The following is a 26,587-nucleotide window of genomic DNA, read 5'->3' on the forward strand; positions in this document are numbered from 1 at the left end:
CTTTGCAATTTCCTGAACAATAGAGGTTCTAGGTGCATCTTGGGTTCTAATATTTTATCTTTGGCACAGGTTTCTGACACAGAGCTCCCAATCCCCTTGGCACTTCCTGGGTGACAGGAGCATCTTTTGTTCTAAGGAGATGACTCTCAGTGGACTCCTGGATGGGGGCTGGTCGCCAGAAAGACCAAGCCATGGTTAGAATCCTGGATCTTTCAGCCCTACTCCTCATTCCCTGAAGATGGGAGAAGGGCTGGAAATGGAGTTAATAATCGATCATGTCTATGTGATGAAGCTTCCATCAAAACCCCTGAACTATGGGAGTGTGGAGAGCTTGTGCACTGCTGAGTACATGGAGGGTGGTGTCCCTGAGAGGACAAGGATGCTGTGTCCCTTCCCCCATTCCTTGCCCTCTGCATCTCTCCCATCTGGCGTTTCCTCTGTATCGTTTGTAATATTGTTATAATAAACTGGTAAATGTACCTAAAGTGCTTTCGTGAATTCTGTGAGCCACTCTAGCAAATGATCAAACCTGAAAAAGGGGTTATGAGAACCTCCGATTTATAGCAAACAGATCAGAAGATCCAGAAGCCCAGATTTGTGCCTGGCATCTGAAGTGGGGGGCTGAGCCTGAAACCCATGGGATCTGACTTTAACTCCAGGTAAATGGTGTCAGAATTTAATTAAACTCTATACACCCAGCTGGTGTTGGAGAATTAGTTCTTGGGGGAAAACTTCTACCCCCGACATTTGATCACCGAAGTATCCTGTTGGGTGTAAACAGAGAGAAAAGAAGTCTATTTTTTCCTTTACATAAGTACAACAATCTCTGTTTTACAATTTAAAAAACTGAGGACCAGAAATACCAGCAGGCAGCCCAAGGTAGCAGAGCTTGTACATGGCAGAGCCAGAAGCAGAGTCAAGTCTTTTTAACACTGAGTGTCTGGCTGTCTGTTCTGTTAGGTAGTCAAGAATGGCTTAGAGGATCAGTGGAAGGCAGCTTGTCAGTAGAGTGATAAATGCTAACAAGGGATGCCAGATGTTTTGAGAATTTATGCCAAACCTTTTGAGGCAGATGTTCCCAGTTCCACTCAGTTTCATCTCCACCTTTTCTGGCATCTGGAGTAATAAGGAATTTTGTCATCATATGGCCCCTGAAAATAAGCTAATCCCTGCTAACTCACCTCTTGATTTTTATATCTCAATTTCAATAAGTCTATGCCCAAAAAGTTGCAAGGAAAGTGAGCCCTCTAAACATATACAAAAAATCTTTCTTTTTTTTTTTTTTTTTTTTTTGAGATGGAGTCTCACTCTGTTGCCCAGGCTGGAGTGCAGTGGCACAGCCTTGGCTCACTGCAACCTCCACCTCCCAGGTTCAAGTGATTCTCCTGCCTCGGCCTCCCGAGTAGCTGGGATTACAGGCACGCACCACCACACCCAACTAATTTTTGTATTTTTAGTAGAGACGGGGTTTCACCATATTGGTCAGGCTGGTCTGGAACTCCTGACCTCGTGATTCGCCCGCCTCAGCCTCCCAAAGTGCTGGGATTACAGGCATGAGCCACCGCGCCCGGCCAATTAAATTTCTAACACATGAACTTTGGAGGTCACATCCAAACCACAGCAAATTGCTCTTTGGAAAAAGTTTTGTGAAGAGAAGCAGCCTCTAATTTATTTTTAAATATGACATGCTAGCTTTAGTGAGGTTCGCTTGTGTTCCTGAGTGTGGGTTTACGCACAACAGGTTAGCTTTAGTGAGGTACACTTATATCCCTTTGACCCTCAGCCCTGGTTCCAATTGCTAGGTTAGGAGCTAAGGCTCTTTCTGCTGAACAGTTGCTGTGGGTCAAGCAGGATGATGTTGCCAGGCCAAAAAGCCTGGGCTAAACTCTCAGGCAAAGAGCAGGCAGGCAGAAATCCTCAACAAAATACTAGCAAACTGAATTCAACAACACATCAAAAAGATCATTCATCATGACCAAGTGGAATTTATCTCAGGGATGCAAGGATGGTTCAACATATGCAAATCAATCAGTGTGATGCATCATATCAACAGAATGAAGGACAAAAGCCATATGACCATTTCAACTGATACTGAAAAAGCATTTGATAATATTCAACATCCTTTCATGATTAAAAAAAAAAGAATCCTAAAAAAACTGGGCATAGAAGGAACATACCTCAACACAATAAAAGCCATATATGACAGACCCACAGCTAGTATCACACTGAATGAGAGAAATCTGAAAGCCTTTCTTCTGAGATCTGGAACACAACAAGAATGCCCACTTTCACCACTGTGATTCAACATAGTACTGGAAGTCCTAGCTAGAGCAACCAGACAAGAGAAAGAAATAAAGGACATCAAGTTGGAAAGGAAGAAGTCAAATTATCCTTGTTTGCAGATGAAATGATGTTATATTTGGAAAAACTCAAAGAATCCAGCAAAAAACTATTTGAACTGATAAATTCAGTAAAGTTTTAGGATACAAAATTCAACATACAAAGATCAGTAACATTTATATATACCAACAGTGAACAATCTGAAAAAGAAATCAAGAAAGTGATCCCATTTACAATAGCTGCAAATAAAATAATATACCCAGAATTAAACTTAACCAAAGAAGTGAAAGATCTCTACACTGAAAGCTATAAAGCACTGATGCAAGAAATTGGAGAGGACAGACCAGGCACAGTGGCTCAAGTCTGTAATCCCAGCACTTTGGGAGGCCGAGGTGGGCAGATCACCTGAGGTCAGGAGTTTGAGATCAGCCAGGGCAACATGGTGAAACCCTGTCTCTACTAAAAATACAAAATTAGCTGGGCGTGGTGGCACATGCCTGTAATCTCAGCTAATCGGGAGGCTGAGGTAGGAGAATTGCTTGAACCTGGGAGGCAGAGGATGTAGTGAGCTGAGATCACACCACTACACTCCAGCCTCAGCAACAAGAGTATATCTCCAGCTCACCAAAAAAAAAAAAAAAAAAAAAAGAAAAGAAATTGGAGAGGACACCAAAAAATGGAAAGTTATTCCATGTTCATGGATTGGAATAATCAATATTGTTAAAATGTCCATACTATCCAAAGCAATCTACAGATCCAATGCAATCCCTATCAAAATACCAATGATGGCCAGGCGCAGTGGCTCACAACTGTAATCCCAGCACTTTGGGAGTCTAAGGCGGGTGGATCACTTGAGCCAATGAATTCGAGATCAGCCTGGGCAACATGGCACAACTCCATCTCTACAAGAAATACCAAAATTAGTCAGGCATGTAGCACACACCTGTAGTGCCAGGTATTTGGGAGGCTGAGATGGGAGGATCACTTGAGCCTGGGAGATGGAGGTTGCATTGAGCCAAGATCATGCTGCTGCACTCCAGCTTGAGTGACAGAGCAAGACCTCTGTCTCAAAACAAAACAAAACCACAAGAAAAAAATCAGTGACATTCTTCACAGAAACAGAAAAAATAATCCTAAAATTTATATGGAACCACAAAAGACCCAGAAGAGCTAAAGCCATCACAAGCAAAAAGAATAAAACTGGAGGAATCACATTACTTGACTTCAAATTATACTACAGAGCTATAGTAACCAAAATAGGCACAGAACTGGCATAAAAATAAACACATAGACCAATGGAACAGAATAGAGAATCCAGAAACAAATCCATACACCTACGGTGAACTCATTTTTTATAAAAGTGCCAAGAACATACATTGGGGGAAAGGACAGTCTCTTCAATAAGCGGTGCTGGGAAACCAATATCCACATGCAGAAGAATGAAACTGACCCCTACCTCACCATATATAAAAATCAAATCAAAATGGATTAAATACTTAAATCTAAGACCTCAAACTATGAAACTACTAAAGGAAAACACTGGGGCAACTCTCCAGGACATTGGTCTGGGCAAAGATTTCCTGAGCAAATACCCCAAAAGCACAGGCAAACAAAGGGAAAATGGATAAAAGAGATCACATCAAGTTAAAAAACCTTCTGCACAGCAAACAAAATAATCAACAAAGTGAAGAGACAACCCACAAAGTGGAAGAAAATATTTGCAAACTACTCATCTGACAAGAAATTAATAATCAAAATATATAAGTAGCTCAAACAACTCAACAGGAAAAAAATCTAATAATCCAAATTTTAAAATGGGGAAAATATCTGAATAGAAGTTTCTGAAGAGAGGACATACAAATGGCAAACAGACATATAAAAAGGTGCTTAACATCATTGATCATCAGAGAAATGCAAATCAAAACTACAATGAGTTGTCATATCTCAATCCAGTTAAAATGGTTTTTTTCAAAAGATGGGCAATAATTAATGCTGGCGAGGATGTGGAAAAAAGGGAACCCTCATACACTTTTGGTAAGAATGTGAACTAATATAGCTGCTATGGAGAACAGTATGGAAGTTCCTCAAAAAACTAAAAATAGAACTATTATATGATCCAGCAATTCTACTACTAGGTATGTCAAAGAGATATCTGTACTCTTATGTTTAAAATTCACAACAGCCAAGATTTGGAAGCAACCTAAGTGTCCACCAATAGATGTATGGATAAAGAAAATGTCGTACATATGGGCCAGGCACGGTGGCTCACATCTGTAATCCCAGCACTTTGGGAGGCCAAGGTGGGTGGATCACGAGGTCAGGAGTTCAAGACCAGCCTGGCCAAGATGGTGAAACCCCAACTCTACTAATAATACAAAAATTACCTGGGTGTGGTGGCACATGCCTGTAATCCCAGCTACTCAGGAGGCTGAGGCAGGAGAATCACTTGAACCCAGGGGCAGAGGTTGCAGTGAGCCAAGATTGCGTCACTGCACTCCAGCCTGGGCAACAGAGCAAGACTCTGTCTCAAAAAAAAAAAAAAAAAAAAAGATTAAAACAATTGAACTCATGGAGACAGAGAGTAGTAGAAGGATGGTTACCAGAATGGTAGGTGGGCCAGGGATGAGGGGGAGTGAGGATGGTTAATGGATATAAAAACGTAGCTACACGGAAGGAATAAAATCGAGTACTTGGTAGCACAACAGGATGACTACAGTCAATAATAATTTATCATACATGTAAAAATAACTAAAAGAAGGCCGGATGTGGTGGCTCACACCTGTAATCCCAGCACTTTGGGAGGCTGAGGCAGGCAGGCAGATCACTTGAGGCTAGGAGTTTGAGATCAGCCTGGCCAACATGTGGAAACCCCGTCTCTACTAAAAATACAAAAAATGAGAGGCCAAGGCGGGCAGATCACGAGGTCAAGAGAACACCCACATTGTGAAACCTGTGTCTACTAAAAATACAAAAAAAATAGCTGGGCGTGATGGTGCGCACCTGTAGCCCCAGCTAGTCCAGAGGCTGAGGCAGGAGAATCACCTGAACCCAGAAGGCAGAGGCTGCAGTGAGACAAGATCATGCCACTGCACTCCAGCCTAGGTGACAGAGTAAGACTCTGTCTCAAACAAAACAAAACAAGCAAACAAACAAAAACTACTAAAAGAGTATGATTGGAATATTTGTAACACAGAACAGATTAAATGCTTGAGGTGATGAATACTCCACTTACCCTGATATGATTATTATGTATTGTATGTTTATACCAAAATAGCTCATGTACCCCATAAACATACACACCTACTATGTACCCATAAATTTAAAAAAATCTAGAAAATGATCAAATCTAAAATCTAAGCTAATTTCTATTTGAACTAAGAAAAATTGTTTTCCTTAAAAAAAAAAAAAAACGCAGATAGGGTCAAAACCCAAGATGAGGCTGTCTTGGAAGCAGAGACAGCACACAGGAAGCCCCATCAGACACAAAGGAAGCCTATGAGACCAAACGTGGGGGCAGAAGACAGAAGAGCCGACAGCTCATTTGTTTCCCTGGGAGTTCCACTAACGAGTGGCAAGGATGGAGTGCTTGCCTCCCAGTGGGCTGCTGGGTGGAGAGGAAAGCCGAATAAAGCAAAGCCTCTCAAAGCAGGCAAAGCATGGTAAAGGCTGTAGTGGAAGTGCCAAGGGTCAAGTTAACTCATGAGAAAAGCTTCATAAAGGTGGCAATCCAGCTGGGCCCAAGCCAAAAGCGTAAGTAATCAGAATTAGAAACGGTGGAGGAGTCAACCCCTACTGAGACAGTTCGGGTTCTCAGCCTGAAGGAAAATGTGGAAGTTGGAGGTTGTGGAGTTTGTGGCTTAAGCCACAGCCCCCTCCTACACCTGGCCTTAGCTCCCAGGATACCTGCCCCCCACTGGGCCAGGCCACGGACTTCCCAAAGGGCAACCACATAAAGCACAGGACCTTCCACCACTCACACTTTCCAGACCTATCCCTGGCCACTATTTCTTCCCTCTGATGTCACAGGGCTCTGCATCTTGTCCCACCTCAGCAAAATTAGACCCCCTGGTTTCCCAAGAGATGTCATTTTTAACTCTTTTCTACAGGCGCCTGGAGCACAGGGCTTCCCAGAAGTCTGATTCAATGCTATTTTGAGCTGGGTTAGATTGGCAGAAATGAACCACCCACCCTTGGAAAAGTCACACTTGGGAAAAGACTGCCCCAGCAGAGGTGGACTGGGAGCTCTTTCTCAGCATGAGTTTGAATGGGGGTCATATGGAGCAAGGAGACGCTCACATAGTTTCTGCAAAGCTGTGCTGACAAATAGCTCTGGACAGATCCAGACCGGTTCTGTTCACCCAGCTGTTATGCCGCTTCTGCCTGCAAGATGAGAAAGACACCTCCCCTTCCCAGGTTGGCATCATTTATTGAACCATGGCTTTGGAAAGAACAACAAGTTCAAATCCCGGAAAGAAGCTGAGCGTGAATTCCAGCCGGAGGCCCACCAATGACAGCCCTGTCTTGCTATCCTGGGGGGCATGGCATGGGTGGGCGGGGTGCGATGGGGTGGAGGGAAGGAAATCCAAGCACCTGTGGATGCTTACTGCCTTACTCTGTCCTCCTGGCTCCACGTCACCCTTCCTTCCTGCCTGACGTGATCAGGGAAATCTGCGGGGTTAAAGAAGCTTCTAGAAGCCACTTAGTCCCCCTGCAGGTAGATGCTTTTTTTAAGGGTCTCTTGCTCACTTTGAGCATTCTAGAACCACAGATGCAGCCTCTCAGAGTGGTTACCCAGCACCAACTCAGGGGCAGACCATAGTGCCCAGCCTTGTTACAGCGAGGAAGGTGACTCTCAATGGACTGGGGCTCTTGAATTCCTTTACCCTCAGACATACATCCTTCCAACCCCATCATCCCACGATGGTGACAGGGTCTGTGGTCAAGGGAGGGGGTCAGGTTAGGTCAGTGCAGTTCTTCAAGTCGGACCCCAAGCAGGCAGCACCAGTCCCCAAGAGTAGGGCTCGGCCAGAGCTGCTCCCATCAAAGGGAACTGGGTGGGGCCCTGTTATCCAGACACAAATATCTGCTGGGCCCCTGGGACCCAGGGTGTCCAAAGGTGGTTCTTTTCCTCCCTCAGAAACTTGGCCCAGGGCCTTTCCCAGCAAGTGCCTCCCCCTCCTCCCGCCCTCGGGTTCCCTTCCCAGCCACCCACTCAGTGAGGGCTTCAGCACGTGGCTGTGTGGGGCGGCGGGTTTCCTCTCCGCCCCGGCAGCTCTGCAGAGGGTGGTTTTCGCCCTCTCTTCTCCCCCATCCCCCGTGACTTCTTGTAAAAGGCTCCGGCGTCCCCACCCACCTCCGCCCTCCCGCGGCTGCCAGACCGGTGCCCGCCCCCGCCTCCCCCGGAGGCCGCGCTCTCTCCCCGCCCCTGGCAGCGGGCTCTGCTTCGGAAACTGTTGACTCAGAGGGTGGCCGGGCGGCCAGCGTCTGATGTCAGCCTGGAGCTGGGCCAGGGAGTGCAGGGCGGGCGGCGCTGGGAGCGAGGGAGGAAGGGTGCGGGGCCGGGCCGGGCTGGGTGGGCGCCCGCGGCAGGCGTAGGGGCTGCGCTCGGCGCTCCCGGCTGCGCGCTCGGCCTCGGCGGCGGCCCGGGCGCCCGTGACTCAGGGTGCGTCACCGGAGCAGATGCCCGGGGCGGTTGGAGGCTCCCGGGCTCCCGCTGACTCATCAGAAAGGCCTGCCGCGCGGCCCGGGGGGCGGGGGAACGTGGGGGACCGCGGGGAGCTGCCGGGCAGGCGGCAGCCGAGGTCGTTTGAGGCGCGCAGAGCCGGAAAACCCCACGGAGACGGCTGGGCGGGGGCGGGGCGATCGGCACTGACCAGGTCACCTGCAGCGCGGGCTGACGGCGGGCGACTGAAGGAGGGAGCAAGTCTCCCACCCCCAGCAGCCGGCGGCCGCTTCCGAAGTCTGCCCCCTTCCACTGCGGAGCGGCGCCCCGCGGGCCCCCAGCCAGCGCGCCCGAGGCGCCCCCGCCCCGTGTCGCTCGCGCTGCGTTATTGGGAGAAGGCGGTTCCTGAGCACCAGCACGGGCCTCGGTGACACCGGAGGTCGCTGGGGTCTTCCCCTTCCCCTTAAGACTCTGGGTCTGTCTGTGGGAAGAGCTTTCATTCCCCACCCCACTCTATGCCGACCCTCTCCGGGGGAGGCTCCACTGGCACTGTAGACACCACGTGCTGGGTAAAAAGGCCTGGTCCCAGCGCTTCCCTGTCACTGACTGCTAACCACAAGGCGCCGTGGCACTCAGGAAATGCGGCAGGGGGGCTGGAGAACTATCAGGAAGGGGTGTGGGCAGAGAAGAGGCTTCCACCCTGTCTTGGAACACGGACACAGTCCATGGCATTCAAAAGAGGTGGGAGGCTCCTCTGTGCACGTGCCTTCCGCCCCCGGGACAGGTGGAGGAGGGGATTTGACTGGTCCTCACCCTCTGCATTTATAGTCTGGGCACACCTTGGGCAGTGCCGCAGGAGGGCGCTGTGGAGTACAGGCACATGCAGAAGGTGTGGCGAGGGCTTCCTGGTGGAGCTGGCAGTAGGGCAGGGACCTTGAAAAGGAATGATTTGAACAGATCGGAAAAGACATTCCAGACAGAAACAAATGCCTGAAACCCAAACCGAGAAGCAGGAAAGAGCAGACTGCGTTCTCGGAATGGCAGGGAGTCCAGTTTGACTGGAAGACCTGAGGCTCAGAGGCGCATCACGGCCCAGATGCAGACCACAGAGGCAGGCACAGTGGCCCAGGAGGACCGAGGACCTGGAGTCACGGGGTTCCGCCCGCTGCCCCTGGGGAACCGAGTCATGCCAGTTCCCAGACAGATGAATTCCTTCCAAGAATTCCACAGTCCTGCTCAATCCTAGCCGCCAAGCCTCCTGGCCTTGGATGGCTGCTGTCTAATGCAGATCCTCTTTCATCCAGATTTCAAATATTTTTCCTATTCTGTCCTTTGATCACTAACGTTTATGTTTATCTACATCAGCATCCCTCAATCCTGACGGCACTCTGAAATTATCTAGGGGTGCTTTAAAAAAGAAAAATGTTGATGCATGGCCCTCCTCCAGGAAATCTGATTTTATTGGTCTGGGGTGGGGCCCAGGCATCAGCAGACTTTTAATGAGCAGTTAGAGAGGAGAACCACTGATGGAGATGGTCACCAGGGAGTGTCCAGGTCAGACCGCCACAGAAGAGTGCAGCCTCCTGGCCTTCAGACCCAACTGGGACAAACCCTGAGAACAGCCTTGGCAGACCTCCAGGGGCAGCTGGACTCCCTGAGGCTGGATGTTGCAGCCTCTCCCAGGCATCCACTCTGCAGCTGAGGCCAAAGTTTCCAACGGGAAGGGAGGGTGAGGCTTCTATTTGTTTCCCAAGAGCCAGCTGACCTTTGAAGCTAGTGATAACCACCACAAACCTCACTGGTGGGAGAACGAGGCACTGCAGCCAGTTCTCATCAACCCCACATCCCTGCAGGGGGCCCCAAGGCGGATGTGTCACCATCCTCTGCAACGCTGGGCCTCAGAGGTGGAGGAGGCCCAGCCATGGCCAGATGGGGGATCTGGGGAACAGGTCCTCTGCTTTCTGGGAAAATAGAGGTGATGATTCCTGGCCCCAAAGGTTCTTGTTGGGAGTCTTGAGATAAATCCCCTAGCAGTGCTCAGCATGGGGAGAATTTTCAGTGACTGTTCCCTTCCTCCTGTTTTGCTAATAACTCTTTTCACAAATTTAGGAGAGTCTCCGAGTCTGGGCCTTGCCACTCCTCACTCAGCATCTGACCATCCCCACCTCCTGGATCTACAGGGTTCATAGAGGAGGACCCAGAAGAGGGAAAGTCAGGCTGAGGAACTTGGCCTCCCTGCTGCAAGGGAAATGACATCGGTTACCAAGGAGGTGACCAGCTATCCTTTTCCAAGACTGAAAAGCAGAAATACGGCCCTGAGGCTAGAGGGTCTAAGAGAACAATAGGAAGAATTTCCTGACAAAGGACAATGTTGCCTAAAGGACTCAGGAAGCTCTGTGAAAACAGGAGACTCCCGAGCAGAGCACCAGACCCTTCTCCACCAGGCAGTGTTTTTCCCATATGACAGGTGAGAAAACTGAGGCTGAGAGACATGTAATAACTTGCTGAAGCAGCAACCAGCACACCATATAGCTGAAATCTGTAGATCAGCAGTTAAAAGTGGTAGGGCAAGTCCTCTCTGACTTTCAGCGCTAAGAGCCTAGGATTCTGTGTTTTTCTGCTTAAGCCTGGGAATCAGAGTCCTACAAAAGCCGCGCCTAATCCTGGGGGTGTGGGCTTTAAACCCAGAGAGAAAGCATGTTATTGGAATACTCCTGCACTTTTCTCCCTTTGAATCCCACCACGGAAAGAAAATTCTGTGACGTGTACCCAGTATTTATTGGAGGGTATTTCCTAGCAAGAAAATGAGGGCGATTGACCAGGCACGGTGGCTCACGCCTGTAATCCCAGCACTTTGGGAGGTCAAGGTGAGTGGATCACATGAGGTCAGGAGTTCGAGACCAGCCTGACCAACATGGAGAAACCCCGTCTCTACTAAAAATACAAAATTAGCCGGGCGTGGGGTGGCGCATGCCTGTAATTCCAGCTACTCCTGAGGCTGTGGCAGCAGAATCGCTTGAACCCGGGAGACAGAGGTTGCAGTGAGTTGAGATCAAGCCATCGCACTCCAGCCTGGGCAACAGAGTGAGACTCTGTCAAAAAAGAAAGTGTGGTACATCTATACTAATGGAGTACTATTTAGCCGTCAAAGAAAAAAAAGAAAAGAAAAAGAAAGAGAAAGAAAGAAAGAAGGAAAGAAAGAAAGAAAAAGAAAATGAAGGCGATTGTCAACAGCCTCTGGAAATACAGAGCAGGGTCCAGAAATGGCCCCTTCTTAGATGGCGGGCTGGACAGTGCTGCTCCTTCTTAGCCACTGGCGGCAGAAAGACAAAGCCTGGTAATTGTTCTTGGGATTCTCCCTGTCACCTCTCCTTGTAGGTCACAAGCTTCCTGATGCGACAGCCCGTGGGACTACTAGAAGGAAAGATACTCCTTTTCCCATTTTACAGATCAGGAAACTGAGACTGGACAGAAACACCACCAGGATTGAACTGTGAATGGATCTGACTCCAACCCACAAATTCTTCACCTGGTCTCGAAAAGAGGCCCTGGCAACCTACTGCGCACCAGAGGGGAACCCGCCCGCCGTCCCAGGCCGGGCTCTCCCTGCTGCGGAGCGGCCCGGGCGCGGCGGGACAGGGAACGGAAGGAACGGGCTTGGCGCGCACTCGCCGAGGCCCAGGCAGGATTCGAGCGCCAGGGAGGCGCCCATTTCCCTTCCCCCGCGCCTGGGAACGCGGTGCTGGGGGCGGGGCCCGACCGCTGCCCCCTCCAAACGCCTCGACCGCCAGGTGCCCCGAAGCCCGGCCTCCCCTCCCACCCCCGCGCCTGTTCCCGGCGCAGCCCGAGCCGTGGCAGTCACGTCTCCCCATCCGGCCCCAAAGTAAGAGCCAGCCGCAGCCGCGCCGACCCCGCGCTGGGTGGGAGGGCGCGGGGAGGGCGGGGAGGGCGCGGGGAGGGCGGGGCAAGGAGGTGAGGGGAGGGCGGGTTGCCCGGGCCCCGCCCGCTGCGCCCAGGTCGGCCGGGGAGAGGCGCGGGCGAGTCGCAGCGCCGCAACCACCGCCCCTGCCGGGCGCTCGGCGAGCGGGGGCAGGGCGGGGTGAGGCGTGGCCGGGGATGCCGCGAGGCCGCGCCTCCAGGGCTGTGCGCGGGCGGGTGTTGCTGGGGAGAAAAGCGCGGCACGGCCCCGCCCGAGTCCTGCGGGCACAGCGCTCTCTGCTGGTGTGGGTTGAGAACTGCATGAGACTAATTAAAGACCACCATCCACTTAAAAAAAAAAAAAACAACTTAATTCGAATCGGAACCTCACTGTGTTACTGTGAATATGCCTAATTACTATTCGTCAATTTTAAAAAATTAATACATTGAAATAAACTAAGAAAGAAAAACCTAATTCAATAATGTGTCATAGGCGTTGCAGTTTTGAAATGTGGAGAAGGAAAAAAGAAAAAGAATCACTCATCATACCTTTATCTAGAAAGAAGCACTTAGAATATTCGTGTCTGTCTTTCCAGGGCTTCTTATCTGCAAATCTATGCATGTATGCATTCTTTAGAGGATAAAAAAGGCCGGTGGTGACTCATGCTGGTAAGCCCAGCTACTCAGGAGACTGAGACGAGATGATCTAGGGTATCGCTTGAGCCCAGGAGTTCAAGGTTGCAGTGAGCTATGATGACACGACTGCACTCCAGCCTGGGTGACAGAGCAGGGCCTTATTAATAAATTAATTAATTTATAAATTAATAAATTAATTTATAAATTAATAAATTATACAATATTGTCAGCTTTGTGAACGCAGAGGCCTTATTTTGTTCACTGCTCTATCCTCAGTGCCTGGAACACTGGTAGTTGTCTGGGTGCTCAAAAACCATTTGTTGTTTCTACCAAAATGGAATCATGCTTTACACAGTAGGACCATCATTTTTAGCATACTTAAATGTGCTAGTATGATGCCCCGACCCCCTCAATGAGAATATGTGAGAGATGGATGGTCCACTGGCCTCTTTTTTTGTTTTTTTTTTTAGGCGGAATTTCGTACTTGTTGCCCAGGCTGGAGTGCAATGGCCCCATCTCGGCTCACTGCAACCTCTGGCTCCTGGGTTCAAGTGATTCTCCTGCCTCAGCCTCCCGAGTAGCTGGGATTACAGGCATGCACCACCACACCTGGCTAATTTTGTATTTTTAGTAGAGACGGAGTTTCTCCATGTTGGTCAGGCTGGTCTCGAACTCCCGACCTCAGGTGATCCGCCTGCCTTGGCCTCCCAAAGTGCTGAGATTACAGGCCTGAACCACCGCGCCTGGCCCCACTGGCCTCTTTAACAAGAATCTGGAGGCCAGATGTGTTTGGGATTTAGAATTATTCACAGTGCGCATATAAGGTGACTCTCCACCATGCTCAGTCCCATCACATGTTCTGTAGCACCATGTTTTGCTCCTTCAAAGCTGACTGCTGTAGTCTCACAAGTTTATGTTAATCCCATCCATGCCTGTCTCTCTCAGGAAACCACCCTGTCTGGTTTGCTCACCATAGTACTCTCAGCATGGAGTGGGTGCTCCATAAATATGTGTTGGATGAACGAATGAATGAATGAATAAATGAATGAATGAATGAATGATGAATACTCTATCCTGTTTGCCTCCCCTGGAGTCATGTGTGGAGTTCTGTTTATCCCATCTCAGGACAAGCCCCAGAGAACCAGAATCATAGAAAGGGGGAGGTGTTAGTTTGCCCATCCAACAGAGCATCTGTTATGTGCCAGGCTCTGTGCTAGGCTGTGGGGATCTAAAAAAGATGCAGGCCAGGGGTGATGGCTCACGCCTGTAATCCCAGCACTTTGGGAGGCTGAGGCAAATGGATCACTTGAGGTCAGGAGTTCAAGACCAGCCTGGACAACATGGCAAAACTCCATCTCTACTAAAAAAAAAAAAAAAAAAAAGCCAGGCGTGGTGGTGGGAGCCTGTAATCCCAGCTACTTGGGAGGCTGAGACAGGTGAATCACTTGAAACTGGGAGGTGGAGGTTGCAGTGAGCTGAGATCTCACCACTGCACTCCAGCCTGGGAGAAGAGCGAGACTGAAAAGACCTGTCAGCAGGGTCAAAACAGGGAGCAGGTGGCATGCTCAAGGGTGTGGACAAGGTGTAGGATAGCCAGGGGATGGTCCAGTTCCCGGGAGCCAAAGGGGAAAGGCAAGAGGAGGGAGCGGTTAACCAGACCTAGAGAGAGAGGGCAAGCTAGGTGCAGGGCCCCTTCAAGGGCTCCAGCCTCTGCTGGGAGATTCAGCCCGCCAGAGGCAACTGGACAGGAAATGAGCCCAGGAAGGACTACCCTGACCCCACTATCCTCCCCCAGGCTTCTCCGCTCCACTTTGCTTGACCACAAAGCAAAGAGGCAGGGGAAGCATTGAGGCAGTCTGTGAACATCAGCCTCCAGGTGCAGAGCAGGGTGGATGGTGGGTGGCAGGACAGCTGGAAGCTATCCAGTACCAAGAATGAGGCTGTGATAGCCAACAGGAACAGGAAGGGATGTGATCATAGTCACAGATACCATGACCACAGGCTTGGCCTGGACTGGGTTTGGGCTGGCAGAGAGAGGTCAGAAGCATAATGACCCTTGCAGAGGGAGTGTCATCAAATTAAGTAAAGTTGGGGCCAAAGGACAAAATATTCTAATGTCAAAGCTCAGTGTAAGACAAAGAAAAGGAAGCGCCACCTCACCCAGTCCAAATGGAGGACTATGCCAAAGGGTGATACCTCATGGGAAAATTCACTTGCAAACGGGGAGGATAAATGCATCTCTCTCTCTCTCTCTCTCTCTCTCTCTCACACACACACACACACACACACACACACACACGCACAAAGCTAGGTATCTTAGGAAGGTGGAGGACAGAGACGCAATGTCTCACGTTGGTGAATTGGTGAATCCCTATCTTAGGTGTAAATCAGAAAGCTTCTTGGAGAAAAAAACACATTCAAAACCTGCTTGTAGCTGGTATGTGCCTGTAGTCTCAGCTACTCAGAAGGCTGAGGTGGGAAGATGGCTTGAGCCCAGGTGTTTCAGACCAGCCTTGGAAACATAGTGAAACCCCATTGCTAAAAAAAACTATACAAACAAAAAAATTTGCTTGCAAAACACCCAGCTGGACTCACTGTGGGTTACAAGCACGTTTAAGACTTGGTCTCTGAGAAACCAGTTGACTGCCACCTCAAGATCTTAACTTCTAAAACACAAAAATAGACCCACAAAGTCACAAAGCAATGTTTCTCAAAGCCACAGGGGAACTGCCTCCTACAGATAAAAAGATCCCTGCTTTGAGCCTGAATGAATCAGCCAAGGCCCCCTTTCTTCCAACCAACCAACCCTAACCAGGTAAGCCCACCTCAACAACCTGACCCTACAAAAAACCCTTCCTAACCCTTTTATTGAGTGGCTCCGAAGGCTCACCCAACATGTGGGTTCCTTTGATGCATCAAAGTAAGCAAACTTGGCATTTTGTGGCCATAGGCACATCCTTAGTGGGCCTGACGTCTCCGACTTGAAGGAGTTGGTGGCCCACCTGGAACAGCCATGGCTTGAACTAAACATTTAACAATCCCTACACTTGAGCTGGGGTCTTCTGGAACATCCTCCCAAATCCCCACTGCCAGCCTGTACTGTACTTTGCTGGGGACTTGGAGAGTCAAAGGCTGTTGCTACTGAGGGAGGGGGAGGGCGGTTGGGGGAGGAGGGCTTTGGAAACGGGAGGGAAAGTGAGGCAGGAATCCCTTCTTCCTCCTGGCTCCTCCACAAAGGACTAGGGGCAGGGATGTAGAGATGCAAAGGTCAGGGAACCGGGGACACTTGTGACACTCAGAAGTGTGATAGAACATAAAAGCTTAATACTATGTGAAATCAACTCTGAACAGTGGGAAACTCAGCAATTGTTTGCTGCAACTTCCAAGGCACTATAGCAAATGTAATCCACAAGCGTCATCTAGTGGTACAATCTGTCAGTGTCGGCCAAGCCCTGAGCTCTGAGCGGCAGCTCTGCCGGGTGAGAAGTCTACACTCGGTGCCCAGAGGTCTAGGACCAAGATGGCCAGCCAGCCACATCTGCCAGGGACAGCATTCAGCCTAATTGCCTCGGGCATTCTGCTCTGCAGCGTAGAAAACAAGCCTCGAAGGGAACTCTGAGCTGGGACTATAGGCATGTCCCACCATGCCTGGCTAATTTTTTATTTTTGTATATATATATAAAATATGTAATATATATAAATAATATATATAAATAGATCCCTGCAGATAATATATATATAATCTAATATATATATATAATCATATATATAATCTAATATATAATCATATATATAATCTAATATATAATCTATATATATGTAAAATCATATATATATAATCTTATACATATATGTATAATCTTATATATATATATTAGAGATGGGGTCTTGCTGTGTTGCCCAGGCTGGTCTCAAACCCCTGGCCTCAAGCAATCACCCCTCCTCGCTCTCCCAAAGTGCTGGAATTACAGGCGTGAGCCACTGTGCCCGGCCAGAGCTGGGGATTTTTGGGGCACAGAACAAGCTGTGGTTGCTTGGTAAGTGACTGGGGTTGCGTGGGCATTACAGCTGTTGATGCCTGCCCAGCGTAGCATCCCAGATATGAGGGATATGAAGAGACAGTCTCACCTAATGTGTCGGATCGCCTGCGGTGCCAGCCGTTGTGATGGAGTGGGGCAGGCCTATCTCTCAGGTGGAACCAAGAACCCAGCTGGAAGGCTCTTGAAGCACACAGGGATAGAAGTGCCATGCGGCAGGGAATTGGGGCTATTTTGTTTGCTGCTGTCCTAGTGCTAGAATCGTGGATAGTGCCTGGCACCTAAATATTAAACCAAATAAAAACTCGTTGGCTGGATAAACGAATGAATGGATGGATGAGAGTTAAAGCCCCCATCGGGCTGTGCTGTACAGGAGTCAAGGACTCAGAGGGGCTGAGGGATCTTGCGGGATGCTTCCCTTTGAAGGCCAACCAGAGCCTGGAAAGCTCAACCCCAGTCACACTCCAGACAAGACTGTGAAGGGAGAGTTTAACGCAGGTTAGCAACTTAATCCAGCCAGTTTCAGAAGCTTACCCTACAGCCACAAGGATAGTGGTCTGAGGGGAGATCCTGGTGGCAGAGACAGCAGTTGAAACTACTGAAATAGTCCAGGCAGGACGTGGGAGGGTGGAGCTTGCCAGGATCTGGAAGCAGGCATGGGCTCTGCCCACCCTAGGTACAGACCCTGGCCGGGCCGTTTGTGCCTTGTCATCAGGCTGAGGCTGAGAGAGGGGAAGGAGAGAACTGGGTGATGGGCCTCTGGTTGATGGTTTCGGGTTGAGTTATGGGAGAAAGAGATGAAGATGTTGAGGAAAAAAGGGGTCATTCGAATTAAAGAAATCTCATGGCTTCAGGCCCTGGCTGGGCCAGGAGCCTGGACCCTGGGCTCACCTTCTGCTAGAGGAGAGGTCACTGGAGGGTTGCAAAACAGCCACACCCTCTGGAAGGGCCAGGCTCCTAAGTCATGGTGCAAGTGTCCCCAAGGGCTTACCTAAGGGCGAAATGACTTCAGAGGCCAGGAAGACACCTTCTGCAATATCTGAAGGCTATTGGCTGTATTATTAGAAAGGGAAAGGCGTAAAAGAATTGGAAGTGTGGAGAAAAAATGCTGGCAGTCAGCGTTAACAATAAACTCAGGCTTTTTGGCTGGGCACAGTGGCTCATACCTGTAATCCCAGTACTTTGGGAGGCTAAGGTGGGTGGATCACCTGAGGTCAGGAGTTCGAGACCAGCCTGGCCAACATGGCAAAACCCCGTCTCTACTAAAAATACAAGAATTAGCTGAGTGTGGTGGCAGGTGACTGTAATCCCAGCTACTCAGGAGGCTAAGGCAGGAGAATCGCTTGAACCTGGCAGGTGGAGTTGGCAGTGAGCCGAGATCATGCCACTGTACTCCAGCCTGGGCAACAGAGTGAGACTCTGTCTCAAAAAAATAATAAACTCAGACTTTTCCTGGTTTGGGAAGAGGAGAAAAGGGGGCTGAATGACAGAATAAAAATAGGGAGGTGTCTAGAAGGCAGTGCCACACAATATTAAGGCAGGAGTCTGTTAGAAAGCTGTCAGGGGATTTTTAAAAATAGCTTTTATATACTTTATTGCTGGAATTTTGATCATTTAAAAGATTTTATAATGGGGAAAAAACAACGATCTAACTTTATAGGGAAACAAAGAAGACAAAAGAGAGCAGGAATGCAATGGGAGCTTGAAAATGAGAGGAGAGTTCGAGACCAGCCTGGGACACGTAGCAAGACCCCATCTCTACAGAAAAAAAAACCATGTTTTTAAATTAGCCAGGTGTGGTTCTGCACACCTATGGTACCAACTACTCGGGAGGCTGAGGTGGGAAGATCGCCTGAACATGGGAGGTCAATACTGCAGTGAGCTGTGATGATGCCACTAACCTCCAGCCTGGGTGACAGAGCAAGTATCCATCTCAAAAAGAAAGAGAGGAATGAAGGAAGGGAGGGAGAGAGGGAAGGAGGGAAAGGGAAAGGAACAGTGACTGAGAAGGGCTGGGAGTGGACGTGCAGGGGCCAGTCAGGGGTCAAGGGTCAATACAGTGCTTCTGTTCCGAATGACCAAACATACTTGTTATGGACTGTGTCCCCATCAAAATTCATACACTGAAATCCCAACCACCAGTACATCAGAATGTGAACTTATTTGGAAATAGGGTCATTGCAGATGTAATTAGTCCAATTAACATGAGGTCATTAAGGTGAGAACAAGTCCAATATAACCAGTGTCATAAAAAGAGGAAATTTGGAGAGACTCATACAGTGTGCAGGGAGAAAAGCATGTGAACATGAAGATGGCCACCTACAATCCAAGGAGAGAGGCCAGGAACGGAGGCTTCCCTGAAAGCCCTAGAGAGAACCAACCCTGCTGACCATTTGGACTTCTGGTCTCCAGAGCTGTGAGACACATTTCTGATGTTTAAGCCACCCAGTTTAAAGTTTGTGTATTGTTTGGGCAGCCCTAACAAGCTAGTACACACATCAGCAGAAACCGTGGTTCTGACCTTGTTAAGCAGACAACGTGGCACAGGCTTTTTTTAAATTTTTACCTTTTTTTTCGAGACACGGTCTCCCTCTGTAGCCCAGGTTGTAGTGCAGTGGTGCCATCAGAGCTCACTGCAGCCTTGAACTCCTGAGCTGAAGTGTTCCTCCCACCTCAGCCTCTCAAAGTGCTAGGATTATGGGCACCCGGCCTCCCAACTTTTTTCTTTTAATGATTGGAAAACGGCACCACAGTTGCATGTGCAGGTCCCATGTACCCATTCCCCTGCTACCGGCACTGTCAGCTGCTGCAGACTCGCAGTTGTAGCTCATGGCTGCATTCTTCACTGGAAATCAGCATATAACTGTGTCCATCACTGGGAACTAGCCTCTGTCACAGGGACGGCTTGCCCAAGGTTATGCCTCCTTGAAAGGAGTGGCCTGTAGCCAATGACTGGCTAATGCTGGGATAAAGTCCCAGCTGTCCTGTCTCAGTTTGGTTCAACTCTGAAGGGCCATCCCAGCTCCAGAACTCCCATACAAACCCTAGATGGTGCCAATAGTTCTTGCGGAAGTGGTAAAAATGACAGCTTCAGCAGTTACACGCACAATACTACATGATTAATGATAACTGTGGAGTTGATCACTCTCTTCAGGTTTGTAGGGTTTTTAAATTTGAAAATAACAGTGAACAAAAATTTTAAAAGTGCTGAAGACACAGAGCTTCACAGAATGTTTTGTGTCTGGGTTTTCCATCTGAATGGAACTTCCTATAGGCAATTCAAAATGTGGGTGAAATCTGAGTGATGTACTGTAGGATCATGGGGAAGAGACCGGATCCAGAGCCAGCCTGCCGGGCTACAATCCTAACTCTACCACTTACTCCTAGCTATCTATAACAATTTTTAATTTTATTTTAAAATATTTTAAGGCCAGGCGCGGTGGCTCACACCTGTAATCCCAGCATTTTGGAAGGCCGAGGCGGGTGGATCACCTGAGATCAGGAATTCGAGACTAGCCTGGCCAGCATAGTGAAACCTCATCTCTACTAAAAATACAAAAATTAGCTGGACGTGGTGGCACACACCTGTAATCCCAGCTACTTGGGAGGCTGAGGCAAGATAGCCGCTTGAATCCAGGAGGCGGAGGTTGCAGTGAGCTGAGGTCACATCATTGCACTCTAGCCTGGGCAACAAGAGTGAAACTCCGTCTCAAAAAACAAAAATTAAAAAAATATATTAAATATTTTTATTTAACATAGAGATGGGTTTCACCATGTTGCCTAGGCTGTCTCAAATTCCTGGGCTCAAGTGACCTGCCCACCTTGGCCTCCCAAAGTGCTGGGATTATAAGGTGTGAGCCACCCCGCCTGGCCTATATGACCTTCTTAAGGTCTGTAAAATGGGGCCATGAGTCTCTATTTCATAGGATGGTTCTGAAGATTGAGTTCATGTAGAAGACTAAACAGGTTACTAACCAAAGCCCTTGAACAGTGCCAGAAACAGTGTTGCAATGGTTGCATGATCCTGCAGTCCCCTAGCTGGGCAATGGAACTTCCTTGCTGCTATTATTATACAATTACAGTAATGTTGGTCTTCTCATTCATGCCACAATACAGCACAGAGCTTACAGTTAAGGAAATAGGAGTCCTCTGCTTTTTAAAGAGGTCAACATCAGTTCAGTTTTCTTATCACCCATTACCCATCCGGGCCTATGGCCATAAGTGTAAGAACATAAAGATTGAAGGTCAAACCTTGAAATAGCTAAAAGATTTGGGTCATATAGATAAGGCATATCAAGAGATACTTATTTGACCCCTTGAAAGGCTTGACATTGGTAACCTTGCCACACCTACTACTTCACTCCTCTAATACCTTACCTTCAGGAAGGGTCCTTGCTGCTTTTCCTAAAAGATCTCTTCACTTTCGACTTAAAAGATGTATATAAAGACCTGCTTTTCCCATGTCTTAGCTTGAGGTTATATACACAAGAAAAGCCAACGATTAGTTTCTACCTTGAATGAATAAAGGCCTAGGAACAGAGAGATTCAAAGCAAGGATTTTACTCAACACTTCATTACCAGCAACTCTATTCCCCTTATGAAATTTACAGGCGGAACTAAAGGTCGGAACTAAGTTATTAGTAGTATAACCCATTGTTACTCTGGGAAACTTAATCCCCATTGCAACGGTGTTGAGAGGTGGGCTCATTAAGGGGTGATTATGTGATTATGTCATGAGGGCTCTGCCCTCATCAGTAGATTAATGTAATTATCTCGGCAGTGGGTCAGTTATTGTGCGAGTGGGCTTGGTCCCCATCTTGCTCTCTTCCCCTTCTGCCTTCCACCATGGGATGACACAAGAGGGCCCTCACCAGATGTGGGCCCATCAGCCTCGGACTTCTCAGCCTCTAGAACTGTAAGAAATAAGTTCCTTTATATACATTACCCAGTCTGTGGTATTGTGTTATAGCAACACAAAGTGAACCAAGACACCCTACCATCTGACAATTCACAAGCTGCAACCCTTCCACTTCCTCAAACTGTGGGTCTTCTTCAAGGTAAAGTGCTACATTGATTGTAATATTTGTGTATTTCTTTACCATTTAACGCGTGCAAACTGTACTCCATTTTTAATTAGTTTCTATCAGTTTTGTAATGTTGCACTGACAAAGTTTGAGTGCTGTGCCTGAACCCCATTTTTTCAATTTGTACAATTTCACATAGTGATTTTTAGGAAAGCATATGTCAAGTTATAGCAATACATAAAAGGGAGTGGTAGCATCATGCCAATTGGAAAGGACAGCACCATTTTCCTCCTCAATGTGAACTTCTCATAAGCTCTGCACTACTATTCCCTTCCCTGACTGACCTCCTATACATTGGTCCCAAATCCTCAGTCATTTGGGGCAATATGCAGCTAATGTTACCTAAACCCTTTTTTAACATTTAAAAATGATGTCTGTCGGGCGCGGTGGCTCACGCCTGTAATCCCAGCACTTTGGGGGGCCGAGACAGGCAGATCACCTGAGGTCGGGAGTTCGAGACCAGCCTGACCAATATGGAGAAACCCTGTCTCTACTAAAAACACATTAGCCAGGTGTGGTGGCGCATGCCTGTAATTCCAGCTACTCGGGAGGCTGAGGCAGGAGAATCACTTGAACCCAGGAGGTGGAGGTTGCAGTGAGCCGAGATCGCACCATTGCACTCCAGCCTGGTCAACAAGAGCAAAATTCCGTCTCAAAATACATACGTACATACATACATACATATATACAGTCTTTCTTTGGGGATCACTAAAGTTCTCTTCCCTCCTCTAGCAAGCTTTTAAAGTGTTGTTTATATTCTTGCCTCCAGCAGAATCATAGAATTAGGAAAGGAGAAAACCAAACTTTGAAAATGCTCTTACTTCATTTCTGTTGATAATCTAACAGTATGGAAGGTTAGGTTTAAATCACGAAGTAATGAAATCGGAAAGGCATTACTGGGCACTAAACATAGAGAAAATGCCTTGAGTGCATTGAGACAGGTTTGTTGTGACATAAAAACACCACAGAGTAGGCAGGGCACAGTGGCTTATGCTTGTTATCATTTGAGGCCACAAGCTCAAGACCAGCCTGGCCAAACATGGCAAAACTTTTTTTTTTTTTTTTTTTTGAGACGGAGTCTCACTCTGTCACCCAGGCTGGAGTGCATGGCCGGGCAAAACTCCTTCTCTACTAAAAAAACAAAAATAGAAAAATTAGCTGGGTGTGGTGGCACACACCTTTAATCCTGGCTATTCAGGAGACTGAGACAGAATTACTTGAACCCGGGAGGCAAAGGTTGCAGTGAGCAGAGATGGCGCCACTGCCCTCTAGCCTGGTGACAGAAACTGTTTAAATAAAAATTTAAAAAGCACAGAATATATATGTTTCAAAGACTATTACCTAACTTACAAGTTAAAAGCATCCCAACTCATTACGTTTAGAAAACAAGATAGGCTGGGCGAGGTGGCTCATGCCTATAATTCCAGCACTTTGGGAGGCCGAGACGGGCGGATTACGAGGTCAGGAGATTGAGACCATCCTGGCTAACACGGTGAAACCCCGTCTCTACTAAAAATACAAAAAATTAGCCGGGTGTGGTGGCGGGCACCTGTAGTACCAGCTACTCAGGAGGCTGAAGCAGGAGAATGGTGTGAACCCAGGAGACGGAGCTTGCAGTGAGCCCAGATCGTGCCACTGGACTCCAGCCTGGGCGACAGAGCGAGATTCCGTCACACACACACACACACACACACACACACACACACACACACACACACCACTTAAATGCAGAAATTAAAACTCTATTTCTGTATATCACTATGGTAAAGGGTTGTTGGTTACCTGTACCATCAATCCACAAAAGGTATAAAACTTCATGTATTATTCTTATTATCTTGTGCTGATACCAGAGTACCTTTAAAATACCACCCAAATTTAGTTCCGAGAGGCAGATGGAGAGTTTGGATTGTCTCCAAAAATCTAAAAGGCCCTTGTTTTGACAATTAGGTTTACGCATGTGGTACATATTGAGGGGCACATAATCACTGGTGGATTGGAAATGCATACCTATCCTTGTTCCTTCCCTAACTAAAACGGCATTTAAAAGGAGCGAAACTCACCAGGATGGAGAAATCGAGAGATTAAAAAAAAAAAGCAAGCTAGAAAATGGACAGATTAGTTTATAATTTAGCAGCTTCAGGAAATGGAATACCAAGGCCAGCAGTGGGGGCAAAAAAAAACTCAGAAATTAAAAAAAAAAAAAAAACCAAAAAAAAAAAAAAATGAAGGACTTGGCAGCAGTCCAAACCCCTGGAGGTGGGGGCAAAATAAGGATTGGATGAATCTGTCTAACCACTCAAATCCCAGATCCTTTTCCCTACACTGCGCAGTTGGGCAACAGCCCTCTCTCATTTGTTCATTCTCTAGAAAAGGTAGCCCAGTCTCTGGGATGGCAGGGGTGTGTTACACTGAAAGCAGAGGCCCAACCCTCACCCTGCTGGGTTCTAGAATGCTGGTAGACGGTCTATCACCCTTCAGGCACGATACAAATTGATTGAGAATCAGCTAAGACCTTGACATAATGGCATAAAAATTCCCTAACCAATCATATGTCATACAAAGTTCCCTAACTAATCAGCTGGGACAGATCATTTTTTCAGTCGACAAACTGCACTCATGCACTCAGAGCTGCCTGTTGGCTCTTTAGTCCCCACTCAGATACAGGGAATGCTTAGAATCGTTAAGATTTACAGATTATAAAACAAGACAATTTAGGCAGGGCACAGTGGCTCACGTCTGTAATCTCAGCACTTTGGGAGGGCAAGGCAGGTGGATCACCTGAGGTCAGGAGTTTGAGACCAGCCTGGTCAACATGGTGAAACCCTCTCTAATAAAAATACAAAAACCAGACAGGCATGGTGGTGATGCATCTGTAATCCCAGCTACTCGGGAGGCTGAGGCACGAGAATCACTTGAACCCGAGAGGCAGAGGTTACAGTGAGCCAAGAGTGAGACCCTGTCTCAAAACAAAAACAAGACAATTTAGATTGTCCAGAGCTGGAGGAAAGGGGACCAAAGTGATGAAGGGAAAAAAGAACATTCTTAGCGATAAAACATATTGTTGCAACCTTGGCTCAGAAGTTTAAAATTGCCTAAGTGGAAGACAGAAGGCTTGGAATAGAGCTGAGAATCCTCCACCCCACCATACCTGGTGAAAGCAGAGCAATTTGAGAAACATAAAATAGAAAATAGATGGGAGAAAACCAATCAACTCACAGAACTAAAATTCTTAAACTTCAGCCAAGTGTCCCCTCCTCTGCATATTGCTGCTAAAAACTGAATGGGGACAAAGTTGTAGGCACAGGTACGCACCAGATGAAGTTGGGCACCATTATTTACAAATAAAGGTTAGCTGGACTCTGGGGTTAAAAATAATCTAAATAAGATATTGCAGTATCTTTAGCACATCTACACAACCCCTTTGCTCTACTGCCAATGTGCAATCACTTCATCTGTCACTCAATAGCAGATACTTAACTCTTTAATTGCCCATAACTGATCCAGTGCTAATCTTCTCAGGCCATCAACAAATCAACTGCAAAGGGTTTTGACAGACATAAGCAGTATCATGGTAGAATCAGGGTTTGAAAGACCACTTAACAATGGAATTGCTTTTAAAGCTGATGACAATTACATACATAGGTAAAGGAGTTCAGGCGTATGAAAGATGTTCTTTTTCTCTCCATTTAGTACCCCAAGACCACAAAAAATGAAGCATGCTGTGTAGATTAAGCTTTCTACAAATTGCCATTAAAAAAAAAAACTTTTTACAGTCTGTTTCCGATAAATAAAACAAAATCTTCAACTGTGTAACACTAAAGTCACATTGCCTTTTGAGTCTAGGTGGTTTGTGTTCCACTCCTTTCTGGGTGAAGACATGCACTATGATTTAGAAGATATGTGTAGTAGAGGCCATCTGTATGCAAAGAGAAAAGTTTCTCCGGATGTCTGAGTAGGAACTGAGACTTTTCAGGTTAGCTTTAACTTAATGCAAATGCCAGTAAAGACCAGAACTAGTTCGTTGCTTGTTCCTAGGCCAGGTTTATCCTCATTATGAAAGCCTGCTGCCGTAATTACTTGCATCACACCTTTTTCCTCTCAGGATGGATGCGATTCATAGGATTTACTCACAACTCAAATGTAGAAGACTAATTTTTGTTTTACATTTTGATTCCTGCCAATTTAAGTTTCTACTATTACTGTGTTTCTTTTCTTTTTTTGAGATGGAGTCTTGCTCTGTCACCCAGGCTGGAGTGCGGTGGTGCAATCTCCACTCACTGCAACTTCTGCCTCTCAGGTTCAAGCAATTCTCCTGCCTCAGCCTCGAGTAGCTGGCACAGGTGTGCGCCACCATGCCTGGCTAATTTTTGTATTTTTAGTAGAGATGGCATTTCACCATGTTGGCCAGGCTGGTCTCAAACTCCTGACTTCAGGTGATCTGCCTGCCTCAGCCTCCTGAATTGTTGGGATTACAGGCGTGAGCCACTGTGCCTGGCCTGTGCTTTAATACTATAAGGTTACATTAAAATTAAATCAACTAAAAGGCAGCAATACAAAACCTTCTCTGATGCCCAACCAAAAGTCCAACTTACAAGGACAAAAGAGAATGGTCAAGTACATGCTAAAGAGATCTTAATACCAAGCTATCAACCACTGGCAGTATCTGCCATTTGCATCCATGTGCCAGGCACTTTCAAGGCCTGGTAAGGTTAAGTTCTAGTGTCTTCATCCTACAGACAAGAAACCAAGGCCCAGAGCAACTTGTCCAAATCAGTATAATCAATCTAATAGGTAATAAGGGTCGTTTATTGAGCCCTGTGTGCCAGCCAGTTCTAAGCACCTTGTAACTGTTACATCCTTATAACCTTATGAAGCTGCTACTTTTACTACCATCATTTTCTTTCTTTTCT

At 47.5% G+C, this 26,587-nt stretch overlaps 1 long non-coding RNA gene across 1 annotated transcript, besides 6 other annotated features; it reads left to right on the forward strand.

Annotated features, from left to right (window-relative positions):
- Positions 7,635 to 8,434: a silencer, noted in NCBI's record as "silent region_19445". NCBI's record gives its function as "represses an Ori minimal core promoter by ATAC-STARR-seq in GM12878 lymphoblastoid cells {active_cell/tissue: GM12878}" and the evidence as "EXISTENCE:reporter gene assay evidence [ECO:0000049][PMID:35858748]".
- Positions 8,208 to 12,400, forward strand: GASAL1 (growth arrest associated lncRNA 1). Its single transcript, NR_149020.2, has 2 exons — positions 8,208 to 9,731; positions 10,112 to 12,400. It is a non-coding gene; the product is annotated as a growth arrest associated lncRNA 1 (long non-coding RNA).
- Positions 9,420 to 10,046: an enhancer, noted in NCBI's record as "H3K27ac-H3K4me1 hESC enhancer chr8:103820470-103821096 (GRCh37/hg19 assembly coordinates)". NCBI's record gives its function as "activates a minimal SCP1, AML or CMV promoter by ChIP-STARR-seq in naive H9 embryonic stem cells {active_cell/tissue: H9 hESC(naive)}" and the evidence as "EXISTENCE:reporter gene assay evidence [ECO:0000049][PMID:30033119]".
- Positions 11,486 to 12,235: a silencer, noted in NCBI's record as "silent region_19446". NCBI's record gives its function as "represses an Ori minimal core promoter by ATAC-STARR-seq in GM12878 lymphoblastoid cells {active_cell/tissue: GM12878}" and the evidence as "EXISTENCE:reporter gene assay evidence [ECO:0000049][PMID:35858748]".
- Positions 15,047 to 15,146: an enhancer, noted in NCBI's record as "active region_27778". NCBI's record gives its function as "activates an Ori minimal core promoter by ATAC-STARR-seq in GM12878 lymphoblastoid cells {active_cell/tissue: GM12878}" and the evidence as "EXISTENCE:reporter gene assay evidence [ECO:0000049][PMID:35858748]".
- Positions 15,157 to 15,206: an enhancer, noted in NCBI's record as "active region_27779". NCBI's record gives its function as "activates an Ori minimal core promoter by ATAC-STARR-seq in GM12878 lymphoblastoid cells {active_cell/tissue: GM12878}" and the evidence as "EXISTENCE:reporter gene assay evidence [ECO:0000049][PMID:35858748]".
- Positions 19,279 to 19,573: a silencer, noted in NCBI's record as "tiled region #950; K562 Repressive non-DNase unmatched - State 23:Low". NCBI's record gives its function as "represses a minimal TATA promoter and a strong SV40 promoter by Sharpr-MPRA in K562 cells {active_cell/tissue: K562}" and the evidence as "EXISTENCE:reporter gene assay evidence [ECO:0000049][PMID:27701403]".

Source organism: Homo sapiens, chromosome 8 (genome assembly GCF_000001405.40).
Source record: "Homo sapiens chromosome 8, GRCh38.p14 Primary Assembly".
In the NCBI taxonomy this organism is placed as follows: domain Eukaryota; kingdom Metazoa; phylum Chordata; class Mammalia; order Primates; family Hominidae; genus Homo; species Homo sapiens.